This window comes from Homo sapiens, chromosome 1 (genome assembly GCF_000001405.40).
Source record: "Homo sapiens chromosome 1, GRCh38.p14 Primary Assembly".
Lineage (NCBI taxonomy): Eukaryota > Metazoa > Chordata > Mammalia > Primates > Hominidae > Homo > Homo sapiens.
In genome coordinates, this window is record NC_000001.11 from 168,461,091 (window position 1) to 168,479,511 (window position 18,421).

Consider the following 18,421-nt stretch of genomic DNA (forward strand, 5'->3'; position numbering starts at 1 on the left):
ACACTAGTTGATTCATTTTCTTTGTGGTGTCATTGGTCTTTATATTTTGGTGTGTTTTTGCAATGGCTGATACCGGTTTTTCCTCTCCATATTTAGTGCTTCTTTCAGGAGCTCTTGCAGGGCAGGCCTGGTGGTAATGAAATTCTTCAGCACTTGCTTGTCTGGAAAGTATTTTTTTTCTCCTTCGCTTATGTGAAGCTTAGTTTGGCTGGATATAAAATTCTGGGTTGAAAATACTTTTTTTTTTTAGAATGTTGAATATTGGCCCCCAATCTCTTCTGACTTGTAGGGTTTCTGCTGAGAGGTCCACTGTTAGTCTGATGTGCTTCCCTTTGCAGGTGACCTGACCTTTCTCTCTGGCTGCCCTTAACAGTTTTTCCTTCATTTCTACCTTGGAGAATCTGATAATTACGTTTCTTGGGGTTGAACTTCTCGTGGAGTATCTTAACGGTGTTATCTGTATTTCCTGAATTTGCATGTTGGCCTGTCTTGCTAGGTTGGGGAAGTTCTCCTGGAAAATATCCTGAAGTGTGTTTTCCAGCTTGTTTCCATTCACCTCATCTCCTTTGGTACTCTAATCAATCATAGGTTTGGTCTTTTTATGAAGTCCCATATTTCCTGGAGGCTTTGTTCACATTTCATTCTTCATTCTTTTCATTCCTTTTTTCTCCATTGTCTGCATGTCTTATTTCAGTAAGGTGGTCTTCAAACTCTTATATCCTTTCTTCTGCTTGATTGATTTGGCTGTTGATACTTGTGCATGGTTCACTCGTGCTGTGTTTTTCAGCTCCATCAGGTCGTTTATGTTCCTCTCTAAACTGGTTATTCTAGCTAGCCATTTATCTAACCTTTTATCAAGATTCTTAGCTTCTTTGCATTGGGTTAGAACATGGTAGGAGCCACAGTTTCTATCCTCAGTGTGCTTACAGTTGGGGAAGTAAGACATTTTGGAGCAGGAGAAAGAGTGAGGGCTTTGAAGTCTGACAAACTTGAGTCTGTATTTTATAATCTGTAAAGTAGAAATAATAATTTATACCTTGCAAAGTGATTTTGTGATAAAGAAACACAAGATGTAAATGTTTGAATACTATTAAACATTATCATTATTAAAAACAGATGATCTTGCAAGCATATCTGTGAAATGCTGACCAACAGCACAAAGAAAGATCACAATCAGAGGGAGTTGGAAGCTGGTTGGTAAAGGCTCCATAAAAGAAGATTGTTGTATTGTCACTGATATTGTTAAGAGGAAGGACACCATGTGTGTCTTCATTCATTGCTTATCTCACACAGTGCTGCTGTTGCTAATGGACAGGTTGGATCCTGCTGTCCTTGAGAAATGGACTATGTCCAGTACGCCATATATGTCCCCCTGGGAGTTCATGAGGAGGTTCACCTGTGTAAGAGCAGGAGCGGAGCCACTCAGGCCTGTTGTAGGCATCACAGTTGGTAGAGAATAGAAAAGAGTCAGAGAAAGGGGGAAAGTGTGCAGAGAACTTCAGGTCTCTCAGACAACTGCCCAAGGGCAGGGGACGGGGAAAAGGGCCCAGGGGAGAGGGAGTGCAGTAGAGAGATGGCCTCTGCCGCCTTCTCACCAGACCACCTTTGCTGTGTTTCTGGGCCAAGGGTCTTGCCTTCATCTTCCTTTTCCATCCTTTTATCCGGGAGGATTGGGAGAAAATCCTTGTTAAGAAAAGGTCTCTTGGCCGGGTGTGGTGGCTCACGCCTGTAAACCCAGCACTTTGGGAGGCTGAGGTGGGTGGATCATGAGGAGATCGAGACCACCTTGGCCAACATGGTGGACCCTGTCTCTAAAATACAAAATTTAGCCGGGAATGGTGGTGTGTGTCTGTAGGCCCAGCTACTTGGGAGGCTGAGGCAGGGGAATTGCTTGAACCTGGGAGACGGAAGTTTCAGTGAGCCAAGATTGTGCCACTGAAATCCACCCTGACGACAGAGTGACACTCTGTCTCAAAAAAAAGAAAAGAAAAGAAAAGAAAAGAAAAAAAAAGGTCTGCTGAGGAACACTTTAGATAGCCCATATGCAGGAGGTAGTCCAGCATTCCTCATGTGTTGCCATTCTTTTTTCTTGTATTTTCATCCACTCATCCTTTCCTTTACCTCTTTCTACTCAGTTTTGTTCCTCTTCTCTCTCAGGGTCAAGGATAAGAGAGGAGAAAGAAGAGAAAGAGTGAAACGAGGGAAGGCAGCATAAGTGTGGTTATATCTAGTTTCCCTCTTGGGTGCTGGGCTGCTGGGAAAACTGGCACTTCCAGTGAATTCCTTCAGGGTTATGGAGACTGAATATCTTAATTAAGTGAGGTTGCCTTTTAAAAAGCCACTTGGATCCATTTTTATTGTGGTCTATAGTGCTTATTTCTTTGGTGTACAAATCTGATGGGAGAAGATCCATCAAAAGAAAGGGGAGGGGATAGAGGAGGAAAGAATGAGAGATGGGGCACTCTTGGTAGTGTGTCAACCAAGCCCTGGCTGCCTCAGGTACTGATTTGCACCCCTCCACTCCCTCCTCTGCCATCCAGCCTGGGGACCCCCATGCATGCCTTGTGCTTCTCAAATCTGCCTCTGCTTTCTTTCCAGGAGCCTTATTTCAACGCAACAACTTAGAGTTATTTCCTTCTCCTGTATTACTTTATTCCATCTTGACTTTCTCCCACTGTAGCAATGATCACACTGTAGTATATTAATTATCTTTTGGTTGCCTTTCCCGCTCAGTAGACCATAGTCTTGTTGGGTGGAGGGACTGTGCCTTTTTCTTGTTGCATGCATGTACTGGACACTCTAGTGATATTTGCTAAATGTTAAATGAGTGAGCAAATCCTGCCATGTGTAACCTGGCACTCATTTACCTTATTCCCCATCTCCTGAAACCTGGTTTTCCCATTTCACTAGCACAATCTTCTCTGGTGTCCAGTGTGAGAGTTGGCATAGAGTTCAGCTAGCACCTGCAGAGCCTTCCTGAGACTCCATTCTCAGAACAATCACAAAATGTGGTCATAATGAGCCAATGTCTTTTCTTTTTTTAATAGTTTAAACTTTAATTTTACATTCAGGGGTCCCATGTGCAGATTTGTTATATGGGGATTGTATTAGTCCGTTCTCATGCTGCTAATAAAGACATACCTGAGACTGGGTAATTTATAATTGAAAGAGGCTTAATTGACTCACAGTTCAGCATGGTTGAGGAGACCTCAGGAAACTTACAATCATGGCGGAAGGGGAAGCAAACACATTCTTCTTCACATGGCGGCAGCAAGGAGAAGTGCTGAGAAAAAGGGGGAAAAGCCCCTTATAAAACCATCAGATCTCATAAGAATTCACTCACTATCACGAGAACAGCATGGAGGTAACTGCCCCCATGATTCAATTACCTCCCACCAGGTCCCTCTCATGACATGTGGAGATTATAGGAAATACAATTCAAGATGAGATTTGGGTGGGTATATGTATATAGATATACCATATCAGGTATAGTGTGTGATGCGGAGGTTTGAGGTATGGTTAATCCTGTCACTCAGACAAGTGAGACAGAACCCAGTGGTTAGTTTTTCAAACCTTATTCCCCATTTCCTCCTCTCTCTAGTACTCTCCAGTGTCTATTGTGGCCATCTTTATGTCCAATGTTTAGCTCCCACATATAAGTGAGAACATGTAGTATTTGGTTTTCTGTTCCTGAGTTAATTTGCTTAAGATAATGGCTTCCAGCCACATCCAAGTTGCTGCAAAAGACATGGTGCATTTAGTGCTGCAATGAACATGCAAGTACATGTGTCCTATTTATTTTCTTTTGGATGTATACCCAGTAATGGAATTGCTGGGTTGAATGGTTAAGTTCTTTGAGAAATCTCCAAACTGCTTTCTACAATGGCTGAACTAATTTACGTTCCCACCAACAGTATATAAGCATCGCCTTCTCTCCACAGCCTTGACAGCATCTATTGTTTTTGACTTTTCATGTAATGACCCATAGGCTCAAAGTAAAGGGTCAGAGAAAGACCTATCATGCAAATGAAAAACAAAAAAGAGCAGGGGTTGCTATTCTTATGTCAGATAAAACAGGCTTTAAACGAATAACAGTAAAAAAGGACAAAAAAGGGCATTACATAATGATAAAGTTTCCAATTCAACAGGAAGACTTAGCTATCCTAAATATATATGCATCCAATATTGGAGCACCCAAACTCATAAAATAACTACTTCTAGACCTATGAAAGGACTTAGACAGCTACACAATAATAGTGGGGGACTTCAACACCCCACTGATAGTGTTAGAAAGATCACTGAGCAGAAAACTAACAAAGAAATTCTGGACTTAAACTTGACACTTGACCAATTGGACCTAATAGACACCTATAGAATACTTCATCCAGCACCCACAGAATACGCATTCTTCTCATCTGCACACAGACACAGAACATACTCCAAGATCAACCACATGCTTGGCCATAAAACACGCCTCAATAAATTAAAAAAAAATCAAAGTTATACTGACCATAATCTCAGACCACAGTGGAATAAAAACAAAAATCAATACCAAAAAGATCTCTTGAACAACACAATTCATGAAAATTAAATACCTTGCTCCTAAATGACTTTTGGGTAAACAACAAAATTAATGCAGAAATAAAAAAAATTCTTTGCAATAAGTGAAAACAGAGACACATCATACCAAAATCTCTGGGATGCAGCAAAAGCAGTGTTAAGAAGAAAGTTTATAGTGCTAAATGCGTACTTCAAAAAGTTAGAAAGATCTCAAATTAAACATCTAACATCACACCGAGAGGAACTAGGAAAACAAGGCCAGTGCCTTTACCTTGTAGCCCCAAAGAAGTCTGACCTCAAGAATTGGAATGTAGGATTTTTGAGGGAAACGGTGAGCCTGAAAGCAGTTAGGAAGTAACCTAATTCTCTAGCCACTCACAGAGGGTGCAAAATCTCAGACCAGCAAACAAGGCAGGGCAGAAAGGCACACACTATATATCAACAGGCCATGGATGGTCGTCACCATTCAGACTCTCCAATATTCCTTGTTAACAAGCTGAAATCAGATGATCCTCATTTTCACTTGAGCCCAGGGTTATAATTTCTTGGAAAGTGCAAAGGGAGGCAAACTATAATGGGAAGGAAGAGCAAGTCAACATGAATCTGAGGAAGGGGAATGCTTTTCATTCTGGTTTTTGAACAGGTGGTGGTCAGAGCTGGCAGAAAGCCCAGGATATGTCAGCAGTCCCGGAAAAGAGATGTTCTTGTTGTAAATCTCATGTTGATTCTTGCCCCTCCCTCTCCACCTCCCACTCTTACACATGCTCACGCTTCTTAGTAAGTACACTGGAGCTACCTCCCCCATGCCCCACAGCACATTGTACCTCTGCTAGCACAGGGATCACGTTCTGACTTACAGTGGTTGTGGGTGTCTCTGTCTCTTTCTCTCAAAACAAACATATTGGAGTTTCTCACTCATCGACATTTCTGCACCAGTGCCTGCAGACAGTTTTCCTCACTGTGAGGACTCTAAATACTTTCATTTACTGGAATTAGATTTACCCTTTTGGCTAAGGTGTCATATGGACAGGGGAATTACCAAGTCCAAGAGTAGTTTTGGCTTCCTGATGGGAAAGAGTTGTTGTATAACAGGAATCCTACCTAGGCCTCCTATTGCTCATTCCCAAGACAATTTCTTAGGCCCATCTTTGTCTTCCCAAATTGCCCTTATTTTTTGCCACTGCCAAGGCCCTATGGTCTCAGCTGGCTTCTCTCTCCTTTTAGGCCATTCTCCTTGCTTTGTCCCTTGGTACGCTTTAAACTTAACAGTTCCCTAAGACTGGTTCCAGAGCAAGGTCCTGCTTCCCTGCTATGTCTCATAGAGAAGTGAAACCTCTCTTGCTGCTTTTCACAGGGGAGAGAGACTGGGTCAAAAACAAAACAGAGAATCATACAAAGCTGTTCTTTAATTCCTGACTCCCTCATAAGACAGACTAGAAACTCTGGTGAAGTCTGTGATTTGCTCTTATCCATGAGGATGAGACTCTCTCAACTCCCTTCTTAAATACAGGCTGGAGGATAAAACTGAGGTCCTGCAGTTTGCATAATAGCTGACATCTATTGAGAATCTACTGACTACTAGGAACTATATAAGTTGTGTACATACTATTTTGTTTACTTTTTCAATTAACCACATGAGATAAATACTATTGTAGTTGCATTTTGTCAATACAGTAACTGAGCCTTAAAGAGATTAAGTTACATGTTCAAAATCCCCTAGCCATGAACTGATGGACTAGGGTTTATATCTTATTCGAAAAACAATAGTATTAACTAATGGTTACTCAAAAAGGATGTCTTTTAAATTCCAGTGAGAAGTTTGCATCTTTGAGAATGTTAGGATGGATAAACATCCATGTCACTGCTTCTCAATAAAAAGAACAATTATAGTATATTTTCTTATTGCTAGTCTAACCGGAAATAGTCTGGTTTATTACTTATAAACTAGTTCTTGGAACTAAGACCGTAAACCTTGACTTGGTGCAGGAAATGGTGTGGTTTTACATGCTCAGGAAACAATGACCAGAGTAAAATATTTGACAAATTTTATGCTCTGATTGAGAATTGGAGGCCTGGGGGAATACCTGAATGACTTGCATGCTGCTAAATATTTTTCCACAATATTTTTTTAATGGTTGCACGGTATTCCATTGTATGGTTGCAATATAATTTAGTTGCATGACATCTGGGCAATAGGGGAGTTTCTAAGAGCAGGAGGAATTTTAGAAAAGAGAAACTGAGTATTAGGTGTTCAGTAGCCAGCTTTTCCAGCTTTAGGAATTTTCTTGGGACTAGCTCTGTCCAAGGGGTAAACTATACATGCTGTATACTTTTCCAGGCAGGAAGGGGAAAGACCCATGCTTCTTAGTCTAGCTGCCTCCCAGAAACCTTTGCAAAGGTCATCCAACTCAATCTTGTAGTCTTGGAGAAGGCCAATTCAGATTCCAGTTCTCTTAAACCAGCTACAGAAAACATAACTTTTGTAACTCAGTAGGGTCAGGCTTATTTGTAACTTAGATTGGCTGAAGCCTTTATTAAGTGAAAAAAGATGGAAGCATAACAACATTCCTAACTGAATGCCATTCATGGAAAGAATGTCTGGAATGGAATCCTCTGTCTTGGCTAAATTTGAAAGAATAGCATATCCTGAAAAGAAGCATGAAGGAGATTATCTGATCTTACCTACTGGCTAAGGATCAAAATGTTAAGAAAAGCACACGAGATCATCTTTCTGAAGCAGGAAGAGTCTACGAATCAGACATACTGAATTAAGTCATGAACCAGAGTCATGTCCTAGAATTGTGTCCATGAACCTGGCCAAGACATTTCCTATTCCATTTCAGGTCCAAGATTCTCATAGTGCAGAGCTACCTTTCGAAACATTTAATCACAGATCTTCTTTCAGACTGGACAGTGATCATGGCATCTTTCAGGCAGAAAGAGGAGGGTTAACTTGGCTGGGAGAGGAGATAAGGAAATGTCTAACCAGTCTTCTCACCACCAAAAAACAAAACAAAACAATTCAAAACGAAACAAAACAAAAAAACTATTAGCACCTGGCACAGCACCTGTCATATAGTAATAGAAGCTTAATACATATTTTGTGAATAAATATAAAAATTAGAGGTTGAAGTAGAACTGCGGACTGTCCATTACCATGCTTGATACTTCAGTAGAATGTGTGCCAAAGAATATGGTCCCAGCTCCTCTCTGGGCTTAGGTCTGGTCTCTCCTCAGCTTCTCAGCTTTATAGGTCAGGAATTTCCCAAGCTATCATTTTACTTTGATCCTCTCAGGAACAGAAGTGAGAAAGAAGAGATGAGGTATAGCTAGAAATTTATGAGAAGGGATGGGAAGGAGAAAATAGTGCTGACTTGACCCTGTACTGACAGGGACACCTGCCCATCAGCAATGCTTTGAGCTGCAAGTAGAAGCTGGGGGGTCAGGGAGAGGCTATGTTGGTGGCTATAGAGTAACAGATGACCTGGTTGACCTTGATTATTGACCAACCTATTACAATGAAATGGTTGAGGGATTACAAGTACAGACACAAATAATTTTATATGTAATAAGTAAATTAATACTTTATATGTTTTTTTTTCTGGGAAGATGGAAAGCTGTTTGTTAGAGCAAAGAATTCTAATAGTGCCACATGTGTAATAAAAATCAGATTCATGACCATGACCTTCAGTTCCTGCTTTATGTTGGATTAGCCTTGGGCAAGTCAAATAAACTAGAGAAAAGAGTATTTCCATTTTCCTCTGTAAAACCAAGTTGGCCCAAACGTATATTCCTCCTTTTATATGATTAGTGTGAGCGTTCAAGCTGGGTGGAGGCAGGGCATCTCTTTTGTAATAAGTTGTCACCAGAAAGTCTCATTTTGTTGAGAAGAGAAACCCCTGCAATTGATGGGACTTGGAACAAACTTTCTGGGACACTAAATGGCAGGAGAGCCAGTGTTTTAAGAAGTCATTTCTGTCCTGGTTTGTTATTAAACTGTGGAGCTTCCTTTTCAAGATAGTAAAGATAGTAATAAGTCATGTAATACAAATTGATTCAAAAGGAGACTTAGGGGCTTACAGAATCCCAAGACAGACAAGCATTAAAAGTGCCTGCGGATCCGGCAGGAAGCCAATCCCCAGATGTTACTTTTGGCTGGGAAGGGTGAGGAGGAAGCGGTGGCCTTGCTCTGGCTTAATCTGCAGTGACAACCGTGGCGAGCATGAGTCACTCTGGGCCTCATCTGAACCCTATCTTGGCATCTTGCTTGTGGAGAGGCAGTGCTGTATAATGGTTCAGAGCAGGCTTTGGAACAGACTGCCTGGACAAGCTACTTAATTGCTCTGTTCCTTAGTTTCCTCATCTGCAAAGTAGGGGGAAATAGCAGCACCTACCTCGCTGGGTTGTTGTGAAGTTTAAATAAATTAATACATGTGAAGTACTTAGAACATTGCCTGGCACATTTGCTAGATGGTCAATAAATGTTGCATATTATTTTATATGGGCTATTTCTTCAGTTCAGTATTCTGAGTCTCTAATCTGAGAAACTTGGTGGCACAAATATTTCCTAGTTAGGCAAGCACTTTGTAATGTTTTTAATTTGTAATAGAAAACAAGGATAACTTAGCAAATGAATACCCACAAGCAAACACTGCACTTCATTTTAACCAGACAATCCAATATCTTTCCCTAGCACACTTTTGTTCTGAGAGGGAAATCAAAGAAACTAGAGCTTTCTTTCTTTCTCTTAATCCTGCATACCTTCCACTGTAGGTACCAACTGTCATTTAATAAAAGCTCTGCAGCAGAAGAGAAAACAGGCAGAGCAAACAGCCCTAATAATTTACTTATTTTTGATTCACATCCTAATAATAATGGTCACCATGGTTTAGAGTAATATTGAATTCCTATTACTTGCCACCTGTGCTGTAGTTAAAATGTCTTTTCTAACACTGATACCCCCTTATGTCCCATTTCCTCCACGATAAGAATTGTTATCTATATTTTTACCCATTTCAGCAAACATTTGTGGAATATCTTTCATGTGCCAGGTAATGTGCTAGACTTAAGTAGAATAATGTCCCTTCCTTCAAAAAGGAAGCAAAGGGGACATATGAGAAAAGGCAATGATCGGTAAAAGCACTAAATGTGAATATTTGGGAAATAAATTATTTAAATCACCATTTATTCCCCCTTGGAATAAATGATGATTTTCTTTAGCAGCGCATGTTGATAAAATTTTCATGTGTTTTAGCCACCCCCCCAAAAAAATCCCAAGTGCATTCAAGGTGAAATGACTCAGGAACCAAGCCTCATTTCAAGGCTCTAAGCAGCTTTCATACAGAACTGAGTCAATTACAAACATAAGACTGGCTTGGGAAGCTTAAAACAACAGGGACATGATGAGAATAAAATTTAAGCTTTGCATGGCTGACTTAAAGCTTTCCAATTAATTTCACAACATAATTGACTTCAGACTCCGTATTTTGTCCTGCTTTGGAGTAAATTATGCATATCATTTCACCACTGAGTGATCTCTGATGAATGAGTTTTCCTTCCCACCATAAGGAGGATGGCTCTAGCTTTCTTTTTCTCTGGGAGTATTGTTTTTCCCTTTTCTTCTGGTCTCATGGAGTTCCAGGGTCTAACCACTAAGGCAGAGCAAAACTAGAACTAGTTGGAAATCCCACTGATGAGTCAGAGCCCAGTGAATTAGTAACAGTGCTTGAGGCATTCCTCCTCCAGGGATCTTTTATGAAAGCTTTAACTCATGCTCCATTTTCAGAGAGAACTGGCAGGTACAACTCTCAAGCCCTAAATTTTCTCCAGAACTTGGACCCTACATATATATATATACTCATATATATACACACACACACACACACGCATATATACATATGTATATATATGTATATAGGTATATATGTGTGTGTGTATATATGTATGTGTGTGTATATATATAAAAAAATATAAATATATAAAAATATATAAAAGGCCGGGCGCGGTGGCTCACGCCTGTAATCCCAGCACTTTGGGAGGCTGAGGCGGGCGGATCACGAGGTCAGGAGATCGAGACCATCCTGGCTAACAAGGTGAAACCCCGTCTCTACTAAAAATACAAAAAATTAGCCGGGCGTGGTAGCGGGCGCCTGTAGTCCCAGCTACTCGGGAGGCTGAGGCAGGAGAATGGCGTGAACCCGGGAGGCGGAGCTTGCAGTGAGCCGAGATCGCGCCACTGCACTCCAGCCTGGGCGACAGAGCGAGACTCCGTCTCAAAAAAAAAAAAAAAAAAAAAAAAATTATAAAATATATAAATATATATATAAATATATATAAGTAAATATAAATATATATATAAATATATAAATATATAAATATATATATAAATATATAAATATATAAATATATATATAAATATATAAATATATATATAAATATATATAAATATATATATAAATATATAAATATATATAAATATATATATAAATAAATATAAATATATATAAATATATAAATATATATATAAATATATATAAATAAATATATATAAATTTATATAAATATATAAATATATATATAGTACTGCCTGCTGGAGAGTCCATTCTAGATAACCAACAAACCCTCAAACTTAGTTCACTATGTTTACTCCCCAAATCTGCTTCCCTTCTCATGTGATGCCAGAAAAGATATTAACATTCATCCCCTTGCCAAGGCTGGGAACTTCAGAATCATCGTTTTCTCACTCATCACCACCATCCAATATGTCACCAAGTTAGGCTGCATCTCTGAAGATCTCTTTAATCTGTCCCAGCCTCTTCATACAAAGTAACTGCCAATATCAAAGCCTGGTAGGAGGGGAGCATTGCCAGAAACCAGGGTTGGGGAGGAAGGATCGTCTCTTATTCTTGGAGCTGGCATTTCCATCCTCATTTTTTATTTGGATTAATGTAGCAGCTATAATCTTGTCTTCCTCCAATACATCCTCCAAATTGCTGCCTAAGTAATGTTTCTTTTCTATTTTTAAGGTAAAATATTTAATGGACAAATAAAGATTGTGTATATTCAGGGTGTACAACGTGATGATTTGATATAGGTATACATTATGTAATGATTACCACAATCAAATTAGTTAACACATCCATCACCACTCATGCTGTTCCTTAGATCTGCAGAACTTGCTCATTTTGTAACGAAAACTTTGTACTCTTGGACAAACACTGCCCCATTTTTGTCCTCCTGCCACGGACCCCCAACCCCTGGTAACCACTGTTGTACTCTCTGCTTCTGTAAGTTCAGCCCCTTTAGATTTCAAACGTAAGTGAGATCACATAGTATTTGTCTTTCTTTGTCAGGCTTATTTCACTTAGCATAATGTCCTTCAGGTTCATCCATGTTGTTGCAAATATCAGGATTTCCTTATTTTTTATGACTGAATAATATTTCACAAGTAATACTTCTAAAATGCATCTCTCTTACAAGAATTGTTAGGTATCTTTTGAAAAAAAAAGTAATGAAAGTGATATGTTTTGGCTGTGTCTCTCCACCCAAATCTAATGTTGAATTGTAATTTCCAATGTTGAGAGAGGGGCCTGGTGGTAGATGATTGGATCATAAGGGTGGATTTCCCCTTTGTTCTTGTGATAGTGAGTGAGTTCTCATGAGATATGATGATTTAAAAGTGTGTAGCACTTCCCCCTTCACTCTCTTACTCCTGCCCCACCATGATAAGATGTGCTTGCTTCCCTTTCACCTTGTGCCATAATTGTAAGTTTCCTGAGACCTCCCAGCCATGCTTCCTGTATAGCCTGAAAAACTGCAAGTCAATTAAATCTTTGTTCTTCATCAATTACCCAGTGTCAGGTAGTTCTTTATGACAGTGCAAGAACGAACTAATACAGAAAATTGGTACTGGGAGTGGGGCATTGCTATAAAGATACCTGAAAATGTGGAAGTGACTTTGGAACTGAGTAATGGGCAGAGGTTGGAACAGTTTGGAGGGCTCAGAAGAAGACAGGAAGATGAGGGAAAGTTTGGAACTTCCTAGAGACTTGTTGAATGGTTTTGATCAAAATGCTGATAGTGATATGGACAATGAAGTCCAGGCTGAGGAGGTTTCAGGTGGAGATAAGGAACTTACTGGGAACTGGAGTAAAGGTCATTCTTGTTATGCTTTAGCAAAGAGACTGGTGGCATTGTACCCCTGCTCTAGATATCTGTGGAACTTTGAACTTAAGAGAGATGATTTAGGGTATCTGGCAGAAGAAATGTCTAAGCAACAGAACACTCAAGAGGTGATCTAGCTATTTCTAAAAGCATGTGCTCATATACAAGAACAAAGAGATGATCTGAAGTTGGAACTTACATTTAAAAGAGAAGCAGAGCATAAAAGTTTGTGAAATTTGCAGCTTGACCATGCAATAGAAAAGAGAAACCTATTTTCCATGGGTAAATTCAAGCTGGCTGCAGACATTTGCATAAGTAAAGAGGAGCCCAGTGTTAATAGCCAAGACAATGGGGAAAATCTCTCCAGGGCATTTCAGAGACCTTTGCAGTAGCCCCTCTCATCACAGGCCTGGAGGCCTAGGAGGGAGAAATTGTTTTGTGGGCCAGGCTTAGGGCCCGGCTGCTCTGTGCAGCCTCAGGACATGGTGCCCTGTGTCCCAGCCACTCTAGCTCCAGCTGTGGCTAAAAGGGGCCAAAGTGCAGCTTGGGCCCTTGCTTCAAGGGGTGCAACATATGAGAAAGCCTCACTGACTTCCACATGGTATTGGGCCTGTGGGTGTACAGCAGGCTAGAGTTAAGGCTTGGAAACCCCTGACTAGATTTCAGAGGATGTATGGAAACTCCTGGATGTCTGGGCAGAAGTCTGCTGCAAGGGCAGAGCCCTCATGGAGAACTGCTACTAGGGCAGTGCCGAGGAAAACTGTAGGGTTGGAGCCCCCAGAGTCCCCACTGGGGCACTACCTGGTGGAGCTGTGAGGAGAGGGCCACTGTCCTCCAGATGCCAGAATAGTAGATCCACTGACAGCTTGCACTGTATGCCTGGAAAAACTACACACACTCAATGCCAACCCATGAAAGCAGCTGCAGGGGCTATAACCTGTAGAGCCACAGGGGAAGAGCTGCTCAAGGCTGTGGGAGCCCACCCTTTGCATCAGCATGCTCTAGATGTGAGACATGAAGTCAAAAGAGTATTTCTGAGCTTGGAGATTTAATAACTACCCTGCTGGATTCTGAACTTGCATGGGGCCTGTAGCCCCTTTGTTTTGGCCAATTTCTCCCTTTTGGAATGGGAACATTTACCCAATGACTCTACCACTGTTGTATCTTGGAAGTAACTGACTTGATTTTAATTCTACAGGCTCATAGGTGGAAGGGACTTGCCTTGTCTCAGATGAGACTTTGGACTTGGACTTTTGAGTTAATGCTGAAATGAGTTAAGGCTTTGAGGGACTGTTGGAAAGGCATGATTGTGTTTTGAAAAGTGAGAAAGATATGAGATTTTGGAGGAACCAGGGGTGAAGTTATATGGGTTGGCTTTGTGTCCTAACCCAAATCTCATGTTGAATTGCAATTTTTAATGTTGGGGGCATGACCTGGTAGGAGGTGATTGGATCATGGAGGCAGATTTCCCCCTTGCAGTTCTTGTGATAGTGAGTGAGTTCTCATGAGATCTGATGGTTTAAAAGCATGTGGCCCTTATCCCCACAGGCCCCTGCTCCATCATAGTAAGATGTGCTTACTTCCCTTTCACCTTCTGCCATGATTGTAAGTTTCCCGAGGCTTCCCAGCCATACTTCTTGCACAGCCTGTGGAACTGTGAGTCAATTAAACCTCTTTTCTCATAGATTAGCCAGTCTCAGGTAGTTCTTTATAGCAGTGTGAGAACAGACTAATACAGAAGGGTATGGGAGCACTTAGCCATAGCAGATAATAAAACATGAAAACAAAAGCAAACCAATGGAGCAAAAAAAAAAAGTCTAGAAATAAACCCAGAAATACATGGACATTATTCATAAAGAGATGGCATTTCAAATTGGTGGGGAGAAATATGGATAAGTAAATCCATAGCCGATGGGTGTGATGACTTATGCCTGTAATCCCAGCACTTTGGGAGGCCAAGGCAGGTGGATCACTTGAGGTTGAGAGTTTGAGACCAGCCTGGCCAACATGGTGTAACCCCGTCTATATTAAAAATAGAAAAATTAACCGGGCGTGGCAACAGGCGCCTGTAATCCCAGCTACTTGGGAGGTACTTGGGAGGCTCAAGCACCAGAATTGCTTGAACCCAGAAGGCAAAAGTTACAGCGAGCCAAGATTCTGTCACTGCACTTCAGCAACAGAGCGAGGGCAACAGAGCGAGACTGTCTAAAAAAGAAAAATAAAGAGAAAGAAAGAAAGAAAAAAAAAAAGGTAAATCCATTGTCCTTCTTGTCTCCTAGCTTTGACTGCAGAAAGGAGGTTCTTCTTTGTCTATTTATCCCCCTTGGTCACATTTGAAGTTGTGTATGAGAACATGAGCTCCCGGGGGCCTGCACGGTTTTCCTGGTCTGTTTTATGCTGCTGCTGATTTGATTTCAAGGTCCACATAACTTCTCCTTATAGTCCATTGGTCAGCTACATCTACCTGCAAGGGTGGTTGGAAATGTAGTTGCTAGATAAGTGACCATGTGCCCAGAAAGAAGGAAAAGTGGATTCGGGGGTGGGGGTGGGGGGTCGGGGGGGGCGTTAGCACTCTTTCCCCTTCATTCATTCCATAAATATTTCAACACCTAATGTGTGCCAAGGACATTCTAAGCATTATGGATACAATGAACAAAACAGATAAAAGATCCATGCTCTTATATTCACCCTTAGAGCAGCAATGGGGGAACACCAAAAACAATAAAAAATATCAGACAGCAATAAATGAAGTGGCCAAAATAAAGCAGACAAGCAGTGTGGGGAGTTCAGGGAAACGGGGTGGTGTGTTGCAATCTTAAATAGGGTGGTAAAGGAAGGTGCTCTGGGAAGGTAATATTTGAGGGAAGACCTGAAGGAGGTGAGGGAGTAAACGTGCAGATGCATGTGAGAGAAGAGGGATCCAGGCAGTGCTAAGAGGATGTGCAAACATCCCAGGCAGGATCATGCTTGCAGTGAGAGGAAGCTCGTAGTTGAGGAAGAACAAGGAGGTTATTATGAAGGGAGCAGAACAAGCCAGGGCGTGAGTAGTAGGAAAGGAAGTCAGATAGATAGCGGAAGGGATAGGGATGGGCTGGCAGATTGTGTGGAACTTTGAAGACTACTGTCAGAACTTTGGCTTTGACTCTGAGTGGGGCCACTGGAGAGTTTTGAGCCAAGGACTGTCATACTCTGACTTACATTTTTGAAAGGCTATTATTTTGCAACTAGATTATGAGGGGCAAGGACTGATAGGAGACGATTGTAAGGTAGGAGGCAGGGACTTGACTCCAGACCAGATTGAAGACTGGCTGAAACAAGGAGGAGGCACCGAAAGCACCTCTCCATAAAACACACCCACCAGTGCCATGACAGTTTACCATTGATTGCCATGGCAACACTCTAGAAGTTACCACCCCTTGCCATGGCAACACCTGGAAGTTACCACCCATTTTCTAGCTAATTCTGGATAACTCACCCATTAATTAGCATATCATTAAAAAGGGGTATAAATACAAATGCAGACCTTCCCCTGAGCTGCTACTCTCACACACTTTTTATGGGGTATCCCTGCTCTGCAGGAGCTGTCTCGAAGCTGTAACACTGCCTGGCTGACCAAGTAAAGCTGTTTTCTTCTACCTCAGGCTTGCTCTTGAATTCCTTCCTAGATGAGCAAAGAATCTGCCCTGCATCAATTGCAGTAGCCCAGGAGAGAGACAGTGTTGGCAAGAACCAGGGTGGTGGTGAGGGTATGGGAAGTGATTACAGTCTCTACATCCAAATATGTTTTCTAGTCAATTTGTGAAGAAGTCCTCTCCACCATGTACAGGTATTCTAAATAAATTAATGAATATATGAATGAATAAGCAAACACATTTACATTTATATCTGAATACGTAGCTCCTCTGTTTGAAGCACTCTGTTGTCTATTGGGTTTGACATAGTGAGACCTCCAAGATGTAGCCTTACTTATATTTGCAACCTCATTTTCTTTCATCTCCTCCTAGATTGAGTGCAAAACTGTCTCCTCTCTTCCTCTCTCAGCCTTTTCCCCTCTCCCCACAAGCCTCTCTATGTGAATCTCTTCTGCCACCTTCACAGGCAGAGACCATCTTCTTATAGTTTGCCCTGCATAATTCTCAGTTCCTGGCCTAGAGGAAGTATTTAGTAAAGTTTGCTAGACTGAACTAATTTCCTAACTCTTGGCATCCCCATCTATTTCCTCACTCCCTTATGTCATTTTTGTACTCTGTTTTCTTTTTAGTTTTTTTCCCTCTTTCAAAAATGAAGATGATACAAATGAGCTTATTTAGGACAGACACTAAAATTATCAACTGTTGAGAAGGTAAAACATTTATTTTTCTCAGTGTCTCTCTTTTTTTCCTTCTTTTCATCAGAGACACTTGAGTTAAAATTCTTACTTGCTAAGTTTATGACATTTGATAGGTTTCTTCACTTTGAGGTTTCTATCATTCTATCTGTAAAATGGGGACAACAGCGCTCACCTTTCAGATGTGGTTGCAGGTTGAGTAAGTAATATATACAAAGCATGCTGCTTTTATTTGAGTCTCATAAAAAGCTTTATAGAATTATAAAGTATTATATTCTCCCATCTTTACAGATGAGGTTCAAATTCACATGTCTTAAGTGAGAGAACCAGATAAGATTTCAGGTCTTTGTTTCCTAATTGTTTCCTATTTCACTGGCTCTTTCATTTGACTCCAGGGCTAGCAAAAACCAGTGTCCAAGCTGGGTGTGATGGCAATGCCTGTAGTCTCAGCTCTTTGAAAGGCTGAGGCACTTGAGCCCAGGAGTTGGAGGCTGACCTGGGTAACTTAATGAGACTCTGTCTCTAAAAACAAACACAAAAAACACACCAACAACAGGCAAGCAGAGAGTCAAATCATGAATGAACTCCCATTCACAATTGCTACAAAAAGAATAAAATACCTAGGAATACACTTAACAAGGGAAATGAAGGACCTCTTCAAGGAGAACTACAAACCACTGCTCCAAGAAATCAGAGAGGACACAAATAAATGGAAAAACATTCCATTCCATGCTCATCGAAAGGAAGAATCAATATTGTGAAAATGGCCATACTGCCCAAAGTAATGTATAGATTCAATGTTAAAACTCCCATTAAACTATGGTTGACATTCTTCACAGAATTACAACATATAATAAACTATTTTGAAATTCATATGGAACCAAAAAATGCCTGAACAGCCAAGAACATCCTATGCAAAAAGAACACAGCTCAAGGCATCACACTACCCAACTTCAAACTATACTACCAGGCTACAGTAATCAAAAAGCATGGTACTTGTACAAGAACAGGCACACAGACCAATGGAACAGAATAGAGAACTCAGAAATAACACCACATACCTATAACCATCTGATCTTTGACAAACCTGACAAAAACAAGCGATGGGGAAAGGATTCCTTATTTAATAAATGGTGCTGGGAGAACTGGCTAGCCATATGCAGAAAATTGAAACTAGACCCGTTTCTTACACAACATACAAAAATTAACTCAAGATGGATTAAAAACTTAAATATAAACCCCCAAACTATAAAAACCCTAGAAGAAAATCCAGGCAATACCATTCAGGACATAGGCATGGGCAAAGATTTCGTGATGAAGATGTCAAAAGCAATTGCAACAAAAGCAAAAATTGACAAATGGGATCTAATT

The 18,421-nt window shown here is 40.8% G+C and overlaps 2 long non-coding RNA genes across 10 annotated transcripts in view, besides 1 other annotated feature; both read right to left on the bottom strand.

Annotated features, from left to right (window-relative positions):
* LOC125312414 (uncharacterized) overlaps positions 1-18,421 on the bottom strand; it is a 95,450-nt gene that overhangs the window by 60,900 nt on the left and 16,129 nt on the right. For 5 of the 7 annotated variants that reach the window (NR_176085.1, NR_176084.1, NR_176086.1 and 2 more), the window contains one exon: positions 3,223-3,283. This is a non-coding gene — a long non-coding RNA (uncharacterized LOC125312414). Of the gene's footprint in view, positions 1-3,186; positions 3,284-18,421 lie in introns of all 7 variants that reach the window. The other 2 variants (NR_176089.1, NR_176090.1) reach the window with 1 other exon arrangement.
* LOC101928565 (uncharacterized) overlaps positions 3,024-18,421 on the bottom strand; it is a 31,527-nt gene continuing 16,129 nt past the window's right edge. For all 3 annotated transcript variants that reach the window (NR_125956.2, NR_176057.1, NR_176056.1), the window contains exon 5: positions 3,024-3,283. This is a non-coding gene — a long non-coding RNA (uncharacterized LOC101928565). The remainder of the gene's footprint in view (positions 3,284-18,421) is intronic.
* Positions 13,327-13,527: a silencer, noted in NCBI's record as "peak443 fragment used in MPRA reporter construct". NCBI's record gives its function as "represses an SCP1 promoter by STARR-seq MPRAs in K562 erythroleukemia cells {active_cell/tissue: K562}" and the evidence as "EXISTENCE:reporter gene assay evidence [ECO:0000049][PMID:32103011]".